The sequence below is a fragment of the Homo sapiens genome, chromosome 4 (assembly GCF_000001405.40).
Source record: "Homo sapiens chromosome 4, GRCh38.p14 Primary Assembly".
Classification (NCBI taxonomy): Eukaryota; Metazoa; Chordata; class Mammalia; order Primates; family Hominidae; genus Homo; species Homo sapiens.
Window position 1 is genome coordinate 34,169,105 of NC_000004.12, and position 21,051 is coordinate 34,190,155.

The 21,051-nt window shown below is 34.3% G+C and overlaps 1 long non-coding RNA gene across 2 annotated transcripts in view, besides 1 other annotated feature; it reads right to left on the bottom strand.

Moving 5' to 3' along the window:
- The window catches only part of LINC02484 (long intergenic non-protein coding RNA 2484), a 148,337-nt gene that overhangs the window by 47,694 nt on the left and 79,592 nt on the right, over positions 1-21,051 (bottom strand). The window lies entirely within an intron of this gene.
- Positions 11,417-12,616: an enhancer, noted in NCBI's record as "MED14-independent group 3 enhancer chr4:34182143-34183342 (GRCh37/hg19 assembly coordinates)". NCBI's record gives its function as "activates an origin of replication core promoter dependent on BRD2, BRD4, P300/CBP and CDK7 cofactors, and independent of MED14, by STARR-seq in HCT116 cells {active_cell/tissue: HCT116}" and the evidence as "EXISTENCE:reporter gene assay evidence [ECO:0000049][PMID:35650434]".

The window sequence follows — 21,051 nt, forward strand, 5'->3', positions numbered from 1 at the left end:
ATTATATGAATTTAATGAACACACAAAATTTATCTATAGTAATAGCAATCAGATGAGTACAGACCTATTGTAGTGTGCATTGCTTAGAGAGAGGCACAAGTAACTTTCTGGCATCATAGAAATGTTATCTGTCTTCAACCATGTAATTGATACATGTGTTTTTACAATTTTTACAATTTTACAATTTCAAAATTAAATGATGTATGTCTTTAGGATTTTTTTATTTTAATGGATGTAAATTACATCTCAATAAATTATTAGCTTTAAAATAAAACAATAAATAAATAAATAAAACTTTCAAGTAATTATAAGTCATAAGAAGAAAATAGAATTAGAAGATAGGCTAAGGAGTAAACTGGAACGGGTGAAGATAGGGACATATCTGAGGAGATAAAATTTTGCATAAGAATTGGAAAAAAAAGAGAGAGACAACAGGAAAAATCCCCGTGTGGATGATAGCAGGCAATTAGACCAACAGATGCAGTCTGATGGAAAAAACAAGAAAAACAACTTGTGAAGCAAGAGGAGACACTCAATGTGGGTGTGCATACACACTTATTTTTGTGTGCCTGTGTTCTCTGGAAAGACATATGTGGACCCCAGAGTGGGCACATGAAAAAGACTTCAACTGGACTTGAAGGCTGGAACCAAGACCAGCCAGTCCAGATCTTAAAACAAATATGCCTTGGTCCCAAATACACCTATACGAAAATATAAAATGAAGGTTTGTTTTGGTACAGCCACTGAAATTTGGGGTTATTTGTTATGCAGTATTATTGCAGCAATAGCTCTCTAATACATGTAACAACTATGCATGACAATGATTTGTTATGAAGAGTAGCAATTTAATTAAAATTATATAATATCAGGTAATAGAATATACTATAGTGTAAAAAGTGGTTCTCAGACTTTGATGAGAATGAGAATCTCTTGGGAAACTTATTAAAATCTACATTCAATGGCCTAAGTTCTAAAAAATATGATTCCTTTGTTCTGAGTTGGAGAATAGTAATTTTAAATACATGTATTATTCACAATGATCCCAATTCAATTGTTTAAAGACACACTTGTACTACATAAGCATAATGTCAAATTACATTGAAAATTTACATCATTTGTCCTGATGGTTTAAAAACATTTTTTTCTTGGGCAAATATATGTTAGATATGAATGTACTGTTGGTTTCTCTTTTATTTTTATGTGGGTAAGCATTTGGTTTCACAAAAATGAACACAGGATATTTTGATTAATTTAGAGCATCTGTGGGCAGCTTCATTTAGAATATTGCTTAGATTTAGTCATCTTTGATCTTGCTTGCCTAATAAAATCACCATAGCTGGAATCTAGACTTTAACTCATGTCCTAGCAGATGTTCATCTCTTTTGTCCTTTTAAGATTAGGTTAAATACAGCTGGTTAACTTTATTTATCCCATAGTTTGAGAGTGTTATCATTTATTCACATGTTATATCTGCCCTTAATTAAGGAAACAGATTTTTGCCCAAAATGTGTTCTTGAAAGTTTGAGTGGTACTATGTAGAGATGCAGAAATCTGCCACTTCTTTTTTTTCTTTTCATATAAAAAGTGTCTAATTTTTTGTGGTGTCTTTTTAGAAACACACCGGTTCCTCCACTTTCTAGCAGCAGATGACTTGGTTGCTAAACTTTCGGAATAAAAGCCTTTCTCTTTCAAATTTGAATTTTGGAAATTAGTCCCAACTAGCAAGCTCTTTGTTTTCTATTTTACTGCTTTCCTTCTGTTTTTATCCTTTATACCATTCATTCCACAATATGAGATGCATCTATAATGAATTATGTATGAATATACACAATTATATCATAGATACCATAGCTTTGTTTCATTGTCTTTCACTATTAACATTTAATAATTTTGAGTAATAATAAGCCAATAGAGTACCTATATCTTACATAAATAATGAATAGAAAGCCTAAGATAGAAATAACAGTTTGATTTGCAATCACTGTGCTTGTCTTCTGGTATGTGACATTTCATTGACTAAAGCATTAATCACATCCCTCTTTCCGTCCTCCTCTGCAGGGGTTAAGGATAATAAAGAATCATCAAGTGAGGGCCAGTCATCTGATTCCACAATGTGAAATATAAAGGCCAAATATTTTGGATAATAAAATATGATTATCAAATTCTTGTGAAAAAGATAGCCCTCTGATGGAAGTGTATTATATTATTTTAGGCTACAAAACATTGTCACTCATACAAGGATACATCAAAATGTAACATATATTATATACACCTGGGGAAATCAGTATCCATTTTAATTGACTATTCTTCTAAACTGAACTTTCTGCAATCATGACTACTTTTTTTTTTAACAAAGATATAGTTCTGCTCATGATGATCTCTTTGAAAAGTCTGATTGAATATGCTTTTAGTTCTTTTTCCTAAACGAATTCCCCTTTGGAATCTGAATTCCAGAGAGCAATGCAGTTCCCACATCTACATCTGTTTATTACTTTAATAGATATTACCCTCCAAAACTTCTTGTTAATACTGAACTTAAGTATGTGTTCATCATTAAAGATAGAAGGTAACTGCTCTTTTTTAATATTTCTAAGGCAAAAAAGAAAGAATGAAAATTAGGTGCTTTCTTTTTACTCTTTAGCAAGTTTAACTAATGTAATTAACAAAAATGGACTCATTCAAAGAGTTAACTCACTACCTATTAGTCCAGCATGATGTGAGTAGGTAATTTATACTTATTTTACAAACATCTAATTGAGTGCTTAGTTTGTGCTGAAAACTATTGTATGACAGAGAGTGGTATTCCCTAAATATCTATTTCCTTTGTAGTCTATGGAATTTAAACTCCCAATTGTTAGCTGGGCACATAAGCAAACCAATAGACATCACATTGTCCAGCTTTCTTGTAGAGAAGTGTATTATTTGACCAAATTTTGGTCACTGGGGTATGTGAAGTTGGGCAGAAGTCATGTGGACCTTTTCAGGAACCCTTCTTAAGAGACAGTAGTTGTCGATCCTTTGTCCTGTTTCCCTGTCCCTTACCCCCTTCCTGTAACCTGATGTGTAGACACAGAGGCAGTAGGAGCAGATGTATGCACCATGATTTGTTCCTGAGCAAAAAAGCCTGGATAGACAAGTAGTTTATGAAGCAAACTGCCATATCCACACTGGACTTCCAGATTCCACATGATTTTTAGTTTCTATATGAAAGATAAATGAACTTTATTGTGTGTTTGCTTGTTTACATCACTTAAGTCACTGTTATTCTGTATCTAGGACTGCTAAGCACAATCCCAGGTTATATTATACACATAACATCACGTTTAATACTCAGAACTTAGCCATGAAGTAGGAACCATTATAATACCCAGTCTAGAGTTGAAGAGACTCAAGTATAGAAAATGGACAATCTTGCCCAGTATCTTACAGTTAGTGAATGGAACAGTCAAGTCTATGTCCTGACGATTTGATTCCAGAGATTCTAAACTAGTATGAAAGACTGCTTCCTGATTAAACCACACACCTATTTATACTGTGAAGCTGTAGACTCCGTCTTTGGTGTTCTTGCATATCACTATATTAATTTTCAGAAATTTCAACAACTAATATAGAAAGTAAACATATTTCAACTATGATGTATCTGAAAAATTTCTCTTCAAATACTCCATTTAAAAAATAGCTGTATCAATAGGTTCATGGCTGTTAACATCAGCTTTAAAGAAATGGTGTTGTTGAGATTCCTGACTTTCTGATTGACCTTGGTATCTAATCATCTGTTAATAATCACTGGCATTTTTTCAATATTCTTATCCTCAGGAAAAAGAAATAAACTAACAAAATAAGGTGCTGAAATCCAAATGTCATTTTTAAATAATTATTACATTGCTTATTTTTTCTTATTAGTACTATAGCTTGTGGCCATTTAAAATATTTTCTATGATAGCTTGTGGCCATTTAAAATATTTTCAATGACTCAGTATCTTAAAGTTCAGTTCTGTTTTATTTTATTTTATTTTATTTTATTTTATTTTATTTTATTTTATTTTATTTTATTTTTAGTTATTTCTTGTCTTCTGCTGGCTTTGGGGTTGGTTTGCTCGTATTTTTCTACTTCTTCTAGGTGTGATGTTAAGTTTTTAATATGAGATCTTTCTAACTTTTTGATGTGGGCGTTTGGCAGTATAAACTTTCCTCTTAATACTGCTTTAGCTGCATTCCAGAGATTCTGACATGTATGTCTTTGTTTACGTCAGTTTCAAAGAATTTATTGATTTTTGCCTTTATTTCATTGTTTAACTGAAAGTAATTCAGAAGAAGATCATTTAATTTCAATGTAATTGTATGGTTTTGAGCAATATTCTTAATATTAATATCTATTTTTATTGTGCTGTGGTCTGAGAGTGTGGTTGGTATGATTTTTGGTTTTCTGAATTTGCTGAAAATTGTTTCATGGCCAATTGTGTGGTCAATTTTAGACATGTGCCATGTGCAGAGGAGAAGAATGTATTTTTTGTTGTTGTTGGGTGAAGAGTTCTGTAGATGTCTGCCAGTTCCATTTGGTCAAGTTTTGAGTTTAGGTCTGGAATATCATTGGTAATTTTCTGCCTCCATCAATTATTTAATACTGTCCATGGATATTGAAATATCCCACTATTACTGTGTGGTTATCTAAGTCTCTTTGTATGTCTCTAAGAGCTTGTTTTATAAATCTGGGTGTTCCTGTGTTGTGTGTACATATTTCTTTAGGATACTTAAGCCTTCTTGTTGAATTGAACCCTTTACCATTATGTAATGCCCTTCTTTATCTTTTTTGATTATTGTTGGTTTAAACTCTGTTTTGTCTGAAATTAGAATGGTAACCTCAGTTTTTTTGTTTGTTTGTTTTCTGTTTGCTTGGTAGATTTTTTTCAGTCCTTTTACTTTGAGCCTGTGGGTGTTTTATTGTATGTAAGATGGGTCTCTTGAAGATGGCATAGAGTTGAGCTGAAGTGAAAAAAATTGAGATGCAAAAAATAGTATACAAAAGAACACAAAATCATAAGTTTGTCCATTGAAAGTATACGTAAGATTGACAGACTTTCAGCTAGAATGATAAAGAAAAAAGAGGGAAGATCCAAATAATCACAATCAGAAATGGCAAAGGAAACATTACTAGTGACCTCACAGAAATACAGAAAACCGTTAGAGACTATTGTGAACACCCCTAAGCAAACAAACTAGAAAATTACACAAAATGGATTAATTCCTGGAAACAAGCAACTTCCCAAGATTGAACCTGGAAAATTTGTAACCCTATACAGACCAATAACAAGTTCCAAAATTAAATCATTAATTAAAAATCTGCCAACCAGAAAAAACCTTCTACCAAAATCACAGCCAAATACTACCAGATGTATAAAGAAGAGCTGTTACCATTTCTATTCTGATAAATTGAAGAGGGAATCCTCCCTGTCTCATTCTATGAGGCCAACATCATCCTGATATCAAAACCTGGCAGAGACACAACACAAAAATAAAGCATCAAGCCATTATCCTTGATGAACATAAATGTAAAAATTCTCAACAAAATATAAGCACACTAAATTCAGCAGCAAAAGTGAACATATTCGAAAAATTTCTACAAAATACTAGCATACTAAATTCAGTAACATATGAAAAAGCAAATCCAGCATGATAAAATAGGCTTTATCCCTGGGATGTAAGTTTGGTTCAACATGTGCAAATCAATAAATGTGATGTATCACATGAACATAACTAAAAACAAAAACCACATGACCATCTCAATAGATGCAGGAAATGCTTTTGATAAAATTCAAAATTTCTTTATGTTAATAACTTTCAACAAATTAGACCTAGAAGGAACATACTTCAAAATTGTAAGAGCCATCTATAACAAAACCACAGCCAACATCATACTCAATAGGCAAAAGTTGGAAGTATTCTCCTTGAGAGCTGGAACAAGAACATATTCACTCTCCACTGCTATTCAGCATAGTACTGGAAGTTCTAGCCAGTGCAATCAGGCAAGAGAAAGAAAAAAAGGCATCCATGTAGGAAGCGAGGAAGTCAAATATCTGTTTGCAGATGGTAAGATTTTATACCTAGAAAACCCTGTAGTGTCTGTCCCAAAGCTCCTAGACCTGATAAACAATTTTATCAAAGTTTCAGGATACAAAACCAATGTACAAAACTCAGTAGTATTTCTATACAACAACAACGTCCAAGGTGAGTGCCAAATCAAGAACAAAATCCCATTCAAAATATCCAAAAAAAGAATAAAATACATAGGAATAAAGCTAATCAGGGAGGCGAAAGATCTCTGCAATAAGAATTTTTATAAATTGCTCAAAGAATTCAGAGATTACACAAACGAAAAGTATTCCATGTTCATGGATAGAAACAATCAATATTGTTAAAATGGCCATGCTGCCCAAATTACAGATTCAATGCTACTCCTATCAAACTATCAATAACATTTTTCACAGAATAAGAAAAAAAAACTTCTAAAATTAATGTGGAACTAAAATGAACCCAAATAGCAAAAGCAATCCTAAGCAAAAAGAACAAAGCTGGAGTCATTACATTACCTGATTTCAAACTGTACTAAAAGTCTATAGTAACCAAAATAGCATGGTACTGGTACACACACAGACACTTAGACCAAAGCAACAGAATATAGAGCAACATAATAAATCTGCACCCCTCAACCATTTGGTCTTCAACAAAGTAGAAAAAAGAAACAAGCGTAGGGAAAAGACACTGTATTCAACAAATTATGTTTGGATAACTGGCTAACTTTATGCAGAAGAATGAAACTGAACCACTTCCTTAGGCCATATACAAAAATCAACTCAAATGGATTAAAAACTTAACTGTAAAACCTAAAACTACAGAAGCTCTGGAAGAAAACTTAGCAAATACCATTCTGGACATAGGTCCTGGCAAAGATTTTATGATGAAGACACCAAAAGCAATTGCAACAACAATAAAACTTGATAAATGGGACCTAATTAAACTAAAGAGCTTCTGCATGGCACCAAAAAAAAAAAAAAAAAAAAAAAAAAAAAACCCACTATCAATAGAGTAAATAGACAGTCTACAGAATGTGAGAAAATATTTGCAAACTATGCATCTGACGAATGTCTAATAATCAGTATCTAGAAAGAACTTGAACAAATTAACAAGCAAAAAACAAACAGCCCCATTTAAAATTGGGCAATGTATATGAACAGACACTTCAAAAGAACACATACATATGGCCAACAAACATATGAAAAAATGCTGAATATCACTAATCATTACAGAAATGCAAATCGAGACCATATCCACCAGTCATTATGGCTATTATTACAAAGTAAAAAAAAAAAAAAAAAAAAAAGATACTTGTGTGGTTGCAGAGAAAAGGGAACACTTATACACTGTTGGTAGGAGTGTAAATTAGTTCAACTATTGTGGAAAGCAATATGGTGATTCTTCAAAGAGCTAAAAGCAGAACCACCATTTGAACCAGCAATCCCATTACTGAATATACACCCAGAAGAATATAAATAATTCTGTCATAAAGACACATGCACATGTATGTTCACTGCAGCACTCTTCACAATAACAAAGATGTGGAATAAACCTAAATGCCCATCAACAGTAGGCTGGATAAAAAAAAAATGTAGTAAACATGCACAATGGAATACTATACAGCCATAAAAAAGGATGAGATTATGTCCTTTGCAGCAACAAGGAGAGAGCTGGAGACCTCTATCCTAAGTGAACTAACACAGGAACAGAAAACCAAATACTGCATGTTCTCACTTCTTACTGGGAGCTAAACATTGACTTCATAGACACAAAGAAGGGAACAACAGACACTGGGGCCTACTTGAGGGTGGAGGGTGAGAGGAGGGTGAGGATTGAGAAACTATCTCTAGAGTACTATGCTTATCACCTGGGTGGCAATATAATCTGTACACCACACCCTAGTGACATGCAATTTACCTACATAACAAACCTGCACATGTACCCTGAACCTAAATAGAAGTCAAATAAAAATAAAATAAAATAAAATAAAATAAGAATAAAATTGTTCCCTCGGATGAGCAATATTGTCTGTCTTTTATCATAGATTTCAACTTCACACTCCCCCCATGTTGCTCTAATTAGTGCCCGTTCCTACACAATTTTCATCTGTTTGCTTAGTATCTTCAAAATAAAATAACATATTTATTACTCTATCATGCCTGAATATCACACTGGGAATATGAAAAAGGAAATTTTCCCTGGAAGAACCCAAGTATACTAGAAAACCTGGAGTACTAGAACTCTTGTCCAGCAATGGTCGCATTAGACTTATGTATTAATTGCTATCACTATTCAGGAGCCCAGGCTCTAATCAAAATGAATGCTTTAGACAAACATCATCTTGTCTGCAATTATCTTTTTTTTTTGTTTTTCACTCTCTTAGAGATTAATAAGGGCATACACCTGAGAGCAAAGGAAACAAGTTAAAGTTAGTGTGACCAGGAAAGGAGCACTTGAAAGGGGACTATTTAATTAGTAATCTTCCATGTAGGAAGATAGGAGGAAGAAAAAGCTCAAATGATATTTCTACATATATATGTATATATTTTGACAATTATGACAAATATCCAATTTCTACTTTATAAATTCTTGTTGAAAATTCTAATTACCACATTAAAGGTATTCTCTTTATTCATGCAGTGTGATGGTAAAACCACAGAGTTAACTAAAAACAATTGTGAAGAAAAGAAATAGTATTTTACCACCAAAACAAATATGTCATTCAAATAAGTTGCATCGTCTAACTTAATAGGTTGCTATGCAATGATATAATGAGAAAAACCTGTAATGTATGTCTTCATAATATTATAGATGTGAATTAGAAGTTCTTCAACCCTTTCTGTACTGGTCCTTTCTGCACTGGAGAAACAGTTGCCAACATATTCAGCTCTGTTCTCCTGTGGATGCTAAGGGGCAGGTTTTCATTGCAATACTATAGTTACGTGGAATATATCCTGAGGTTGGTGACATTCAAAATCTCACATTTAATTTGAGTAAATTCTAGCAGGAATTCTCATTTGTTCCCAAAATTGTTAAGTAACTCTGTTATTTGTTCTGACCTCGGATGAGTGACTTATCCTAAGCTCTGGCTATTGGGTTCCAAGGACAAAAAGTCTAGGTATGCTATTTAATTTGAAATTTTGAATATAACCCAAGTAAACTATCATGTGGGCCACTTTACTCTTTAGGTGGAATGTGCATAGATGTTACATTTGGACTGGACACATCTATTATTTTGTGCCATAAAAGTAATTTAGTTTGTATTGTGTTTTATTGTTTCCTCACTGACCAAAGACATTCTTGAAAACACCAACCAGCTTAGTTCTCCTCAAACTGGACATTGCCATTCCTCAGTACTGCACTTTATTAATGAGACATTATTTTTTACAGAGCCACAATAAAAATTGACTGCCTGGGTGACAAACAGGGAGTTCTCCCCTTTGGATGCCTGTGGCTCTGGATTAGCTCACTGGGAAACTCTTCATTCCATTTTGGCTCAGGTAATGATTACTGAATATGCAAGAATTTCTTCCTTAGAAACAACCCAAACTTTGCATCACACCTCTGTGAAGAATGTGTTCTCTCCTATTAGAGCTATTTCACTGCAACAGGTTTATATAGTTTTAAATATAATTGTATATAAATATATATCTTTTAATTATATAAATCTGTTGCAGTGAAATAGCTCCAATTTACTGTACATGAATCTGGTAGGAAAGGGACAATTGACCCGATGGCTAAAGACTGATTTGCAATAAATTCTGATATTATTGGCAGCTATTGTAGCCAGCAACCATTCCCTATAATTTACCTTAGCTCTGCTGAGTATAGATAGATAGATAGATAGATAGATAGATAGATAGATAGATAGATATCATATAACATGTAATAGATACATCTTTATATATTTATATGAAATCTGTCCTTACTTAAAAGGGCACCCCTTACCTGTGCTTCAAAAGTTGTCAGTACTAGCTCATTTTTGGAAGAACCTCAGAAATCTGAAAGTGAGAGTTAGAATTTTGAAAAAATGTTCATAGTCTGACAATCATATTTCTACTGAGGGAAGAAAATTTATACTCGATGGGGAAAGGTATTGTGAGAGCTCTTCAATATCTGCTCTAATACTTCAGTTGCTCCAACAAAGAAGAGGAGAAGTGAGAGGTTCCCATGGTGAGGAGGGGAGAATAAATAGAACATGCTTGGTTCAGCATATCTGAGTACTCTCAGTCAGACTGCACTGACCCTCTGGTATTTTATATATACTCACTGTTATTAGGGAATCTTTATTTTCAATCTGTTTCAAAATGCAAAGGGAAATAAAAATATGTTTTTATTGATTTCATGAAATCCAAACATTGGTTACTCAAATCCCACTTTAAATGACTCAGACTGCATATATTCTTCAATATGCAGGAATTTTAAAAATTTAAACAGAATCAGCAATAGCTAAAACAAGACTTTGCAATTAGGCAATTTATTGATGCTGCAAATGCTAATCATATATTTTGCCCCAGTTATTACACACAAAATTTAATTGGCAAAATAGTTACCAATAGACAAAAGTGGATTATTTTATACACCTAAAATTACCATCATAGGTTGCAAAACTTTGCCCTTCTAACCATGTGGTGCTTAGAAGAAAGAATTTATAATCAAAATAGAAATATACTTCCAAATTTTTTATGTCTTCAGTTTTTTTTTCATCATGGAAATAGTAATAGAATAAATATCAAATTCTGGAACCAAATTTTGTGGAATTGCTGTCTCATTACATAGCTCTTTAACTTTCAAAAGTCAGGTTTTGGTAAATTTCTCCATCTGTAAAATGACAATGATAATTTATTTTAGCATTTAATAAATAGTCTTACTGGGTATTTATGAATATTAAATACATTAATTGTATAAAGCTCTAGGAATACATGAATATACTATGGAACATAATATTTGTTCAAAAAATGCCAACAATTATTAACATTCACTGAAGGTTTATAGAAAACTTATAAGTAATGTTGGACATTCTTTCAAATGATTGGAAACAAAGATAACTTATGAAGTCGGTCACTCCTTTTCTACATCAGCAGTAGATAGGTTTTTCTTAATATCCACTCTTTAACTCAATACTGAAAAAAAAGTGTGACAAAGAGCTCAAGGCTTATTGAATTAAAGGCACCTGATACCAATCTATTTTAATGCAATTATTTAAAATATGATAATTCAAACTCATTATTTTATTCTGTTTATTCATGCCTCTTTGATAAATCAACCTAAAAGTTTTATTTTTTGTATCATTTTACTTGCCATATTTTAATTTGAGAATGTTATTTTTCCAGAAATTTCCTAGAAAAGGTAGGAACCATCTAATTATACTCTATGTTGTTCAAAATAAACCATAACAACTTATTTATAGACAGAAAAATATGACACCTGGACTTAAAGCTCCTGCCTCATTTCTTTTTCTACTACATCATCATTAAAGGATTGCCAGAATCAAAGTTCTCATATTCTAATTTGGGAGATTTTGTCATTGAAATATTTTTTACAAAAAAAAAATTAGAGGTGGTATATGAATTTATACTTCATTTGCATTTTTCTGTAATTAACAACACAAGCTTTATATTTCAAATAGTTCATTGGAAAGGTAGTTTTTCTTTCTAACCACCCTTCATTTCCTAATGTATAATTGAGTTAAACCTGGTAAACATTTCTTTTTTTCCAGGTGTCAAGATGTTAAACTTTGTCAATAGAGGACTCTGCAGGGACACTGTGGATGAAAGGGTCTACTCTTCTTCACTCCAGGACACATCTCTGGACATGCTCTTCTAGTGCATGACAACCAACAGTATATCACAGCCAGCAGTGAAAGACTGCCTAAAATATAATCTACTTCTCAGGAGGCAGTTTCTTCCAGTATATTTGAAGAACGCTTTCAAGCTGTTTCTTCTATACAGAATCTAAGGTAACTTCATACTCTGGTGGGCCACAGGTAGGGGGTTCTTCCACATCTGTTCCTTCTTTAGAAGGTCTGCCTCAGCCTCAAAGTTTGTGGCTGCTTACTCCATATGCTATTCCTGAATTCTTTAGAGTTGTCTCTTTCCCATAATAGCTAATCCCCTATGAGAGTTTATAATTCCTTGTATTAAACTTCCTGTGTTCAAATTATTCTGTGGTTTCTGTCTCTTGGTTGAATGTTGACTAATAACAGTTGTGGTATGAGGAAGTAGAGGGGTTCCTGGAGAAAGATCTGAAAAGATGGTATTTGGACATTGGTTTACTCATGCCCTTGGGCTTGAGCATATTGGTGAAAACTTTGCCAGAAGGAAACAGAGTGCTAAGTAATCTATGGCATGTAGTGGCATACCAATTAATCAAGACATCACCTGTGCTTGATTGTGATCAAGTGCTGACTGAATCAAGTCCCATGGAAACTCAATGGCTGCCATAATTTAATGTACAGAAAGTGACTACAAAGACTATGCTGTGGCCAGAATTTCCTGAGTGACTTGGAACGCTTACAGAAATGAATGATAAGCTCAGGAATTTAGACGTCAACTCATGACTAAACCAGAGAGATTTCATAACAGTCCTAAAATACTATCTTATTTATTAGGGTCATAAGGTTGATACCATCAAAAACCAAATGCAAAATTTAATTATGTCAACTGTGAATAGCAAACTCCATGGTGTCACCATCCTTAAGTGTTAAGTTTCAAATATTGATTATGAATGATTGTTCAGTTGTAGAAATAAGGATTTCCTTGGCTACTCTTATTAACTTTTTGTTTTGTTTCTATATAAGTACTCAATTTCCTGTTTTTTTCTTCTCTGTTCTTACTCTTTTACAATAGAAGGTTGATGGCTATTAAAATGAAAATTCATTGTCATTGATTGCACAATGTCAAGATGGATTGTAATTGAGGAGGAGTGAACATTACTCAGAAATGGAGGCAGTACTTAAGAGCTTTGTTCTTCCTTTTACGTGAGGGTGAGCAGTTGTTTATGTTAGGATCGCCAGGTTGTGTTACACAGGAGCATTTTTTGTTTGTTTCTTATTGCTGTTTGGAGGCTTAAGAATGGGAAGAAAATATGTGTGAGGGATGATATATTTGGATTGGCTTGCTCAACATCCATTCAAACCTGCTTATTGTGTATTTTCTTATATTGCAGAGGCTAAAAAGCTAAAAAAAAAAACAAAACAAAAACAAAAGCAAGCCCACACACAGTTTTCCAGATTCTCTTGACATATCTAGATGTGATTTTGGTTTACATCATTCATATCACTTCTGGGAAATATTGGCTGCTTCACAGAAAAGCAGAGGTGGTAGACTTAAGATCTGGCCAGTGTTGCAGTAACGTTCAGATTTGGCAGGCCGTTTCCTGATTGCAGCAGAAGCACTGGCTGTCTCAGCATCCCGAATGTGTCCTGTGAGTTTTGAAAGTCATTAATGGGAGAAGGTCAGCGTAAAGTCTGTTGTTAGTCATTCTAAATATTTTGAAAGGTCATCAGTATCTGTATTAGTCTGTTTTTGTGCTGCTGATAAAGACATACCCAAGACTGGATAATCTATATATTAAAAAAAAAAAAAAAAAGAGGTTTCGTGGACCCACAGTTCCATGTGGCTGGGGAGGACTCACAATCAAAACGGAAGGCAAAAGTCACGTCTTCCATGGTGGCGGGCAAGACAGAATGAGAGCCAAGTGAATGGAGAAACCCCTTATAAACATAGCAGATCTCATGAGACTTATTCACTACCATGAGAACAGTATGGGGAAAACCGCCCCCTTGATTCAATTATTTCCCACCAGGTCCCTCCCACAACATGTCAGAATTATGGGAGCTACAATTCAACATGAGAATTGGGTGGGGACATATCAGTATCCTATAATAAATCCCATATCAGTATCCTATAATAAATCCCCATCAAGATTAACCCTGGATCAGGGAAGAAATTATTCCTGTTAATGATTTGAGAACAACAGACAAGACTTATGAATATATGTGCCATTACATTTAAGTCTTCATGTTCTTGGCATGTTCTAGGCAGTTGGTTTATGCTTTGCCTGCATGTGTTTCCCCTCATCAATCCTCCAAGTCATGTCATATCTAACTCCTCCTTTATCTGGATTGCTTTAGGTTTGGGTCTATAGCCCTTATGAAATACTTTGGGCACTATTACATCGATGTGATATTACTTTGGAGGCTTTTGATTCTACAGAACCATTCTTTTTTATCATGAAAACCTGCAATTTGCCTATCAGAATGTTTGCTTTCACAATTATCATTTATGATGTGCACTTCAAGGTGCTGTCTGAAGTCAACAATTTATAATAAAATGTAGAGAACATAAATGTTCCGTTTGATACATTTTTTAACAATTGTATACACTGATGTAAACACTATTAAAAGATGCGACTGTTGTATTACAGGAAAGAATGCTTCCCTGTGCCTTTTCTCTTCACACCACCACCACTACCACCGCCACTATGGTCACTGTTTTGATTTTATCTTTTTTTATTATTCCTAAGCTTAACATAAATACAGTCATAAGATGTGATGTATTCTTTTGTCTCTGGCTTCTTCTGCTCAACATGATATTTTAGAGATTTATTCATTCGGTGGCATATGTCAATTGTGTGCTTGTTTTTTATTAAATAATATTCAATGTATCAACATGCCACAATTTGTTTATCCTATTCTACTGCTGATGAAGTTTGGGTATTACACTTTTGGGTTGTTACAAATAAAGATGCTATAAAATAGCTTTATGGAAATTTTTCTAGATTAAACGTCTTTAGAAGACAGTTTAAAATGTCCTCTGCGATACTTTAGGTTTCACCTAGTGCTCAGTAAAGGTCTGCTACAGGTTGGTCAAGGAAATGGGGAGAGAGATTGCCCGAGGCACCAAAAGCTGTGAGTACAGCAGAAGAGCAAAGGGAATTCCTCATTCTGATGCTGGTGTCAGGGCTATAAATCACAGCTCTCCACAGCCTTTTCCATGCTCATGTCCCAAGCTCTGCTGGAGAGGAAGTGGTAATGCTGCCTTCATTGTGTTTTACTAGATTCCAAAGAGGAAAATGAGTGGAAATAAAATAGAACTTATTTCATTTTTATCTGCTTGAGTAGTCATTGCTTGCCCTCAGTGAAGACACACTGAAGTGCCCTGTAGGAATACAATTGAGCTTTCCTACCTTGCACTAGGTTTCAGGGGCTGCCACTTTGCAATAGAATACCAGTATGGCTGAAAACACGCTCTTTCTCTCTCTCTTTTTAAGAAGAGCTTTATTGAGATACAACCAATATACAAAAACTGCACATATTTAATGTATACATTTGATGAATTTGGACATAGGGATACACCCATGATACTATCACCACAATGAAGGTAGTAACAGACATATTCATCATGTCTAAAAGTTTCCTTGTGTCCCTTAGTTGTCATTGTTGCTCTTTGTTTTGTTTGCTTGCCTTTGTGGTAAGAACACTTTACAGGAGATCTATTCACTTAACAAATTTTCAAATGCATAATGTAGAATTGTTGACTTTAGGCACTATGCTGTAAAAAGATCTCTAGAATTAATTCATCTTGCATAAGCTGAAACTTTATATCAATTGAAAAACTCCCCATTTCCCTCTTCTCCCAGCTCATTGTCAACACCATTCTAGACTCTTCTTCTGTAAGTTTGACTATTTTAGATACTTCATATAAGTGGAATCACGCAGCATTTGTCCTTCTGTGACTGATTTATTTCATTTAGCATGATGCCCTTCAAGTTCAATAAAACTGTTTACAAACAACAACAGAAAAAGAATTTCTCTCATGTTTTCTGGGCCTTCCCCAGGCTTTAGCAGTTAACGACCATCATGCCTGAGAAAGTTTTCCCTCATTTCTCCTGTCCTGCTCCCAGCATTTTACAGCAGCTTCTTTGCTCCATTTTAAGCCTCTATTTCCTTGTGTGAATTTGTCTCCTCTCTCTGTCCTGTCCCCTAAGCCTTCAACAGGCCACTATCTTCCACTTGAAAAGGCTGTGCAACCCTAGGAGGGGTCCCTCAGATCCCCTTCCCACACTCTGACTGACCTCTGCATGCTACTGCCACCCACCAAGCAGACTCAAAAAATAGTCTGCAAGGCCATGCAAACCTTGTGGCTGGACTCCATAAGTTTCCAAACCATCATAACAGCTTATATATAAAGTACGGCTAAAGATTTCTTAATGGTGCGGCTGGCTTCTTCATCAGTTATTTACACTAGGTTTCTTCTCCTTCCACCCCTTGATCAGTAATGAAAGCAACTATTGGTGTTCTGTCTCCTAGTAAGCATGTGTCACTTTCTGGACTTGTTTTCATTTCGTTAACTTCTTGTTATTTTTTGTTATATCTTCAGTTCCATTATAGGATAAAAATTTAAAAAAATATAAATTTCTCTCTCATTCACCTTATTGGTATCAGTTATATGGTGAAATTATTAATGATTTCTTGTGACTTTCTACATTCCCACCTGAAGCAGGTGTCTCTTTTTATGTCATTTTAGTCTTTCTATAGTAATTCATTGTAAATAACAGACTAGACTCATTGCTTTGTATAATTACTACCACATGGCAGATATTCAATAAAATGATTTTGAATGTCAAATGAATTCATCAAATCAACCCTACATTGTCATACATTTCTATTTTTAAACAAGTGTCATCATTTCACTATTAAATCTGTTGCTCTGAATATTATCTTTAAAATACACTTCTGAGTCATTTTTTAGGTCACTTTATATTTCAGAACAGTTGATATCAAGGGTAAAAAGAACAGCATCTTTTTGTCACTTCCTGTTTTCTGAATAAAAATAATTTATTTTCTTCTGCAAACTTAATTTTTCCCACAATTGTACTTCAGTCAAGACTTCAGACTGACATTTATGGGGACTAGTCCATTCTCAACCTGTCCCCTGTCATCATAAGAAAACAAAGTAACTATCAGCAATTGTCTGTTTCTCATCTCTCTCTCCTTAAGATGTTTGTAAGAATAATAGTACTATTTAAATGTTAAAGTACTGTATGAACTTAGAAAAAAGCTTCAGAGACTCATTCTCAGGTAGAACCTAAGCTTCTAAATATAGTTGGTGTCCCCATATCCACAAGTTCTGCATCTGCATATTCAACCAAGCATGAATTTAAAATATTTTGGAAAAAACAATAAAAATAACAATACAGTTAAAAATAATGCAAATTAAAAAATATATAACAACTATTTACATAACACTGATCTTGTGTTAGCTATTGTAAGAAATCTAGAGAGTTTAAAGTACTTGTGAGGATGTGCATAGGTTATATGCAAATAATATTACATTTGTATAAGGGACTTGAGCATTGGAATTTTGGTATCCTCAGGGGTTCTGGAATGCATTCCTTGTAGATACAGAGGGACAACTGTATGTTAGGTTTCTGTTCTTGCTGAAAAGCTTTATTATCATTGAATCTCTTAAATGAGATTTCTTATTACTAAATATCACTTACATGTCATTAATATAATAATAGGGTCATTATCACTGAATAACATTAAATGTGCTTATATAAATGAAGCTAGAAATTGATGGCATAATAAGTTTGCCAGAGGTTTTTGCTTTGCTTATATAAACTCATGTAATTCTCACAAACAACTTGTGAGAGATGCTATTATTATTCCAATTTTACAAATGAAGAACCTCAGGAAAGGGACTTAATTAATTTGACCAAGGTTTCATAGTAAGTTACAATTAGGATTAAACCAAGGCAGTATGATTTCAACATCCATAATCATAAATTCTATATTTATTTGCTTTATTTATTAACAAGATTGCCTTCTACAACCAATAGTGAAATTGCTGTTAGCCCATTGTCAAACATAATGACATTACCTCAGTTCTCATTCAACTTCATTTCTCTACTCCATTCAACTAGAGACAACAATTTCCTTTATGTTCTTCCTGTATCCTATTCTCAACATGAGCAAAATCAGGCTCAACATATTTTCTTTTATTTCAGAGTTGGCAAACATCTTCCATAAAGAGCTAAAGAGTAAGATCTGTGGACCATGTGGTCCTTGTCACCACTGCTCAATTCTGCTGTTGCAGCGAGAAAGCAGCTGTAGAAGTTATGTGAATGAATCTGTGTTCCAGTAATACTTTATTTAGAAAAACAGACTGCAGTTGTATTTTGCCACAAGCTCAGTGGGTTTGCCTACCCTGGCATTACTCCATACTCAATTTAAAAAGGCCCATTAGAGTGGTCTTTAGGACTCTACTCTCCCATGCTTTTTATTTACCCTCTCTCATTGATATGTATATATATATCTCTTAGCTATCTATAGTAGTTACTAATCGCTGAATGAATACTATGAACCCTTTAGATATTTCCTGTAGCACAATCATAAAGAATGTCACTTGCCACACTAATCATAAGTGGAATATCTAGGACTTGACGTATTACTGAAATTCATGCTAAGATATGCTATACTGCCTCTCTGACTTTATGTTTTATTATTTATAATTCCATACTTATTTCAAATTGATGATTTAAAATTATTTTTAAGAGACAAGTGATTCTTGTACTTTTTTATATGGGTATCAGGCATGTGAAGTGAAGTGAACATTATAGAAAATCAAATAATACTAATAACTAGTATTTATTGAGTGCTTACTATATCCGCACTAAATATTTCCCTGTATTATTGCAATTAATAGTCAAAGCAATCTTATCTAGTAGATGCTATTATTTTCCTTATTTAACAACTGATACAAGACTTTGAAAAAGCAAGTAATTTGAAAATATAACTTAGCTAGCATGGCGTACCACCAATATTGAAATTCAGACAATGTTATCTCGGGTCCCATATTCTGAACACTTTTGCAATATCAACAAAGAAAATAGTAGTTTTGTAAAGCTGATGACACTACTGAGAGACTCTTTTGGAGGGACAATGTTTGTGCAAGAAAAGGTGAATAATATATTGAGTCAGGTGCATAATACACTGATTCAGATTGTTCATGACACTGTAAGTATTTCTCATGCCTATTACCTTTTCCATGAGAAGCAGCCATTGATGTTTTGTAGTTAAATTATTTACAATTCATGTCACAGTTGAGACTGTGCTCCGCGCAATTGATAGGGTATAAATAAATTAAGGTGGCAAATACGAGAATTCTGCATAAAATGGTCATTAAATAGTGGTTGAATTTCTGGATCCTTACTCGGGGTCTGTAAAGAAGAAGGCACAAAGAGGGAACAAAAACGCTAGGAAGAATAGAAGAGATAGTATGCATAAAGCTAAGAGAGAGAAAACCTAAGTCGCAAACACGATTAGATAGCATTAGATGCTGTCTCTGATAGAATAGTAAGTTAACAATAACGCTAAACTGACAGTAACTTCAAAGAATGTTGAACGTTTTACATGAGTTGGTGTTAAATCCAGACATGTTTTTGAAATGGTCCAATTTACCATGAAGCCTGACTTTTGTGGCTGCTGAGTATTTCACTTGTGCCTACATAATTTTTTCAGTTGTCTCACACACACACACAAAATTCTTGACTGTGGGCATTAATCCACACAAGAAATTTTCATTTATTTGCTTAGAAGACGTTTCTAGAAATGGTAATGTGTAATAGTATATAACAAAAATCCAGCTGTTTTCAATTATTTAATACTATGCAAGTAACGATATGTATGCTTCAGAATTTCCATTAAAATCATATTTTATTCTATTATTATTATTTTTCAGAGTATGAGTCTCACTCTGTCACCCCGGCTGGGGTGCAGTGGCACCATCATGACTCACTGCAGCTCAGCATCCCTGGCTCAAGCAATCCTCCTGCCTCAGCCTCCCAAGTAGCTGGGACTACAAACACTGATATGGTTTGGATCTCTACGTCCCTGCCTAAATCTCATATCAATTTGTCATCCTCAATGTTGAAGTGGGGCCTGGTGGGAGGTGACTGGGAGTGGATCCTTCACAAATGGTTTAGCACCATCCCCTCAGTGCTATTCTCTTTATAATGAGTAAGTGAGTTGTCGCAAGATCTGGTTGTTTAAAAGTGTGTAGCACCACCTCCCTCTCTTGCTCCTGCTCTGGCCATGTAAGATGACTACTTTCCCTTTACCTTTCACTGTAATTGTAAGTTTCCTGAGGCCACCCCAGAAGCAGAAGCTGATATGCTTCCTCTACAACCTGCAGAACTATAAGACAGTTAAACCTCATTTCTTTATAAATTACCCAGTCTCAGGTATTTCTTCACAGCAGTGCAAGAACAAACTAATACAAAAAAACTGGTACCCAGGAGTGAGGCAGTGCTTATTATAAAGGTACTTGAATATGTCGAAGTGGCTTTGGAATTAGGTAACAAGCACAGGTTGGAACAGTTTAGAAGGCTGGGATAAGAAGACAGGAAGATGAGGAAAAGTTTGGAACTTGCTAGAAACTTGTTAAATGGTTGTGATCAAAATGCTGATAGTGATATGGACAATGAAGTTCAGGATGAGGAGGTCTCAGGTGGAAATAAGGAACTTATTGGGAACTGGAGCAAAGGTCACTTTTGCTATGCATTAGCAAAGAACTCGGAGGCATTGTGCCTCTGCCCTAGAGATCTGTGGAACTTTGAACTTGGGAGCGATGATTTAAGGTAATTGGAGGAAGAAATTTCTAAGCAGCAAAGCATTCGGGAATTTACCTGGCTGCTTAGAACAGCCTATGGTCATATGCATGAGCAAATAAAAGATGTAAAACTAGAACTTATATTTAAAGGGGAAGCAGAGTATAAGAGTTTGGAAAATGTGCAACCTGACCATAGGATAGAAAAGGAAAACCCATTTTTGGGGCAGGGATTCAAGCATGCTGCAGAAATTTACATAAGTAAAAAGGAGCCAAGTCATAATAGCCAAGAGAATGAGGAAAAGGCCTTGAAGGTATTTCAGAGAACTTTGCTGCAGCCCTTCTCATCACAGGCACATATACCTAG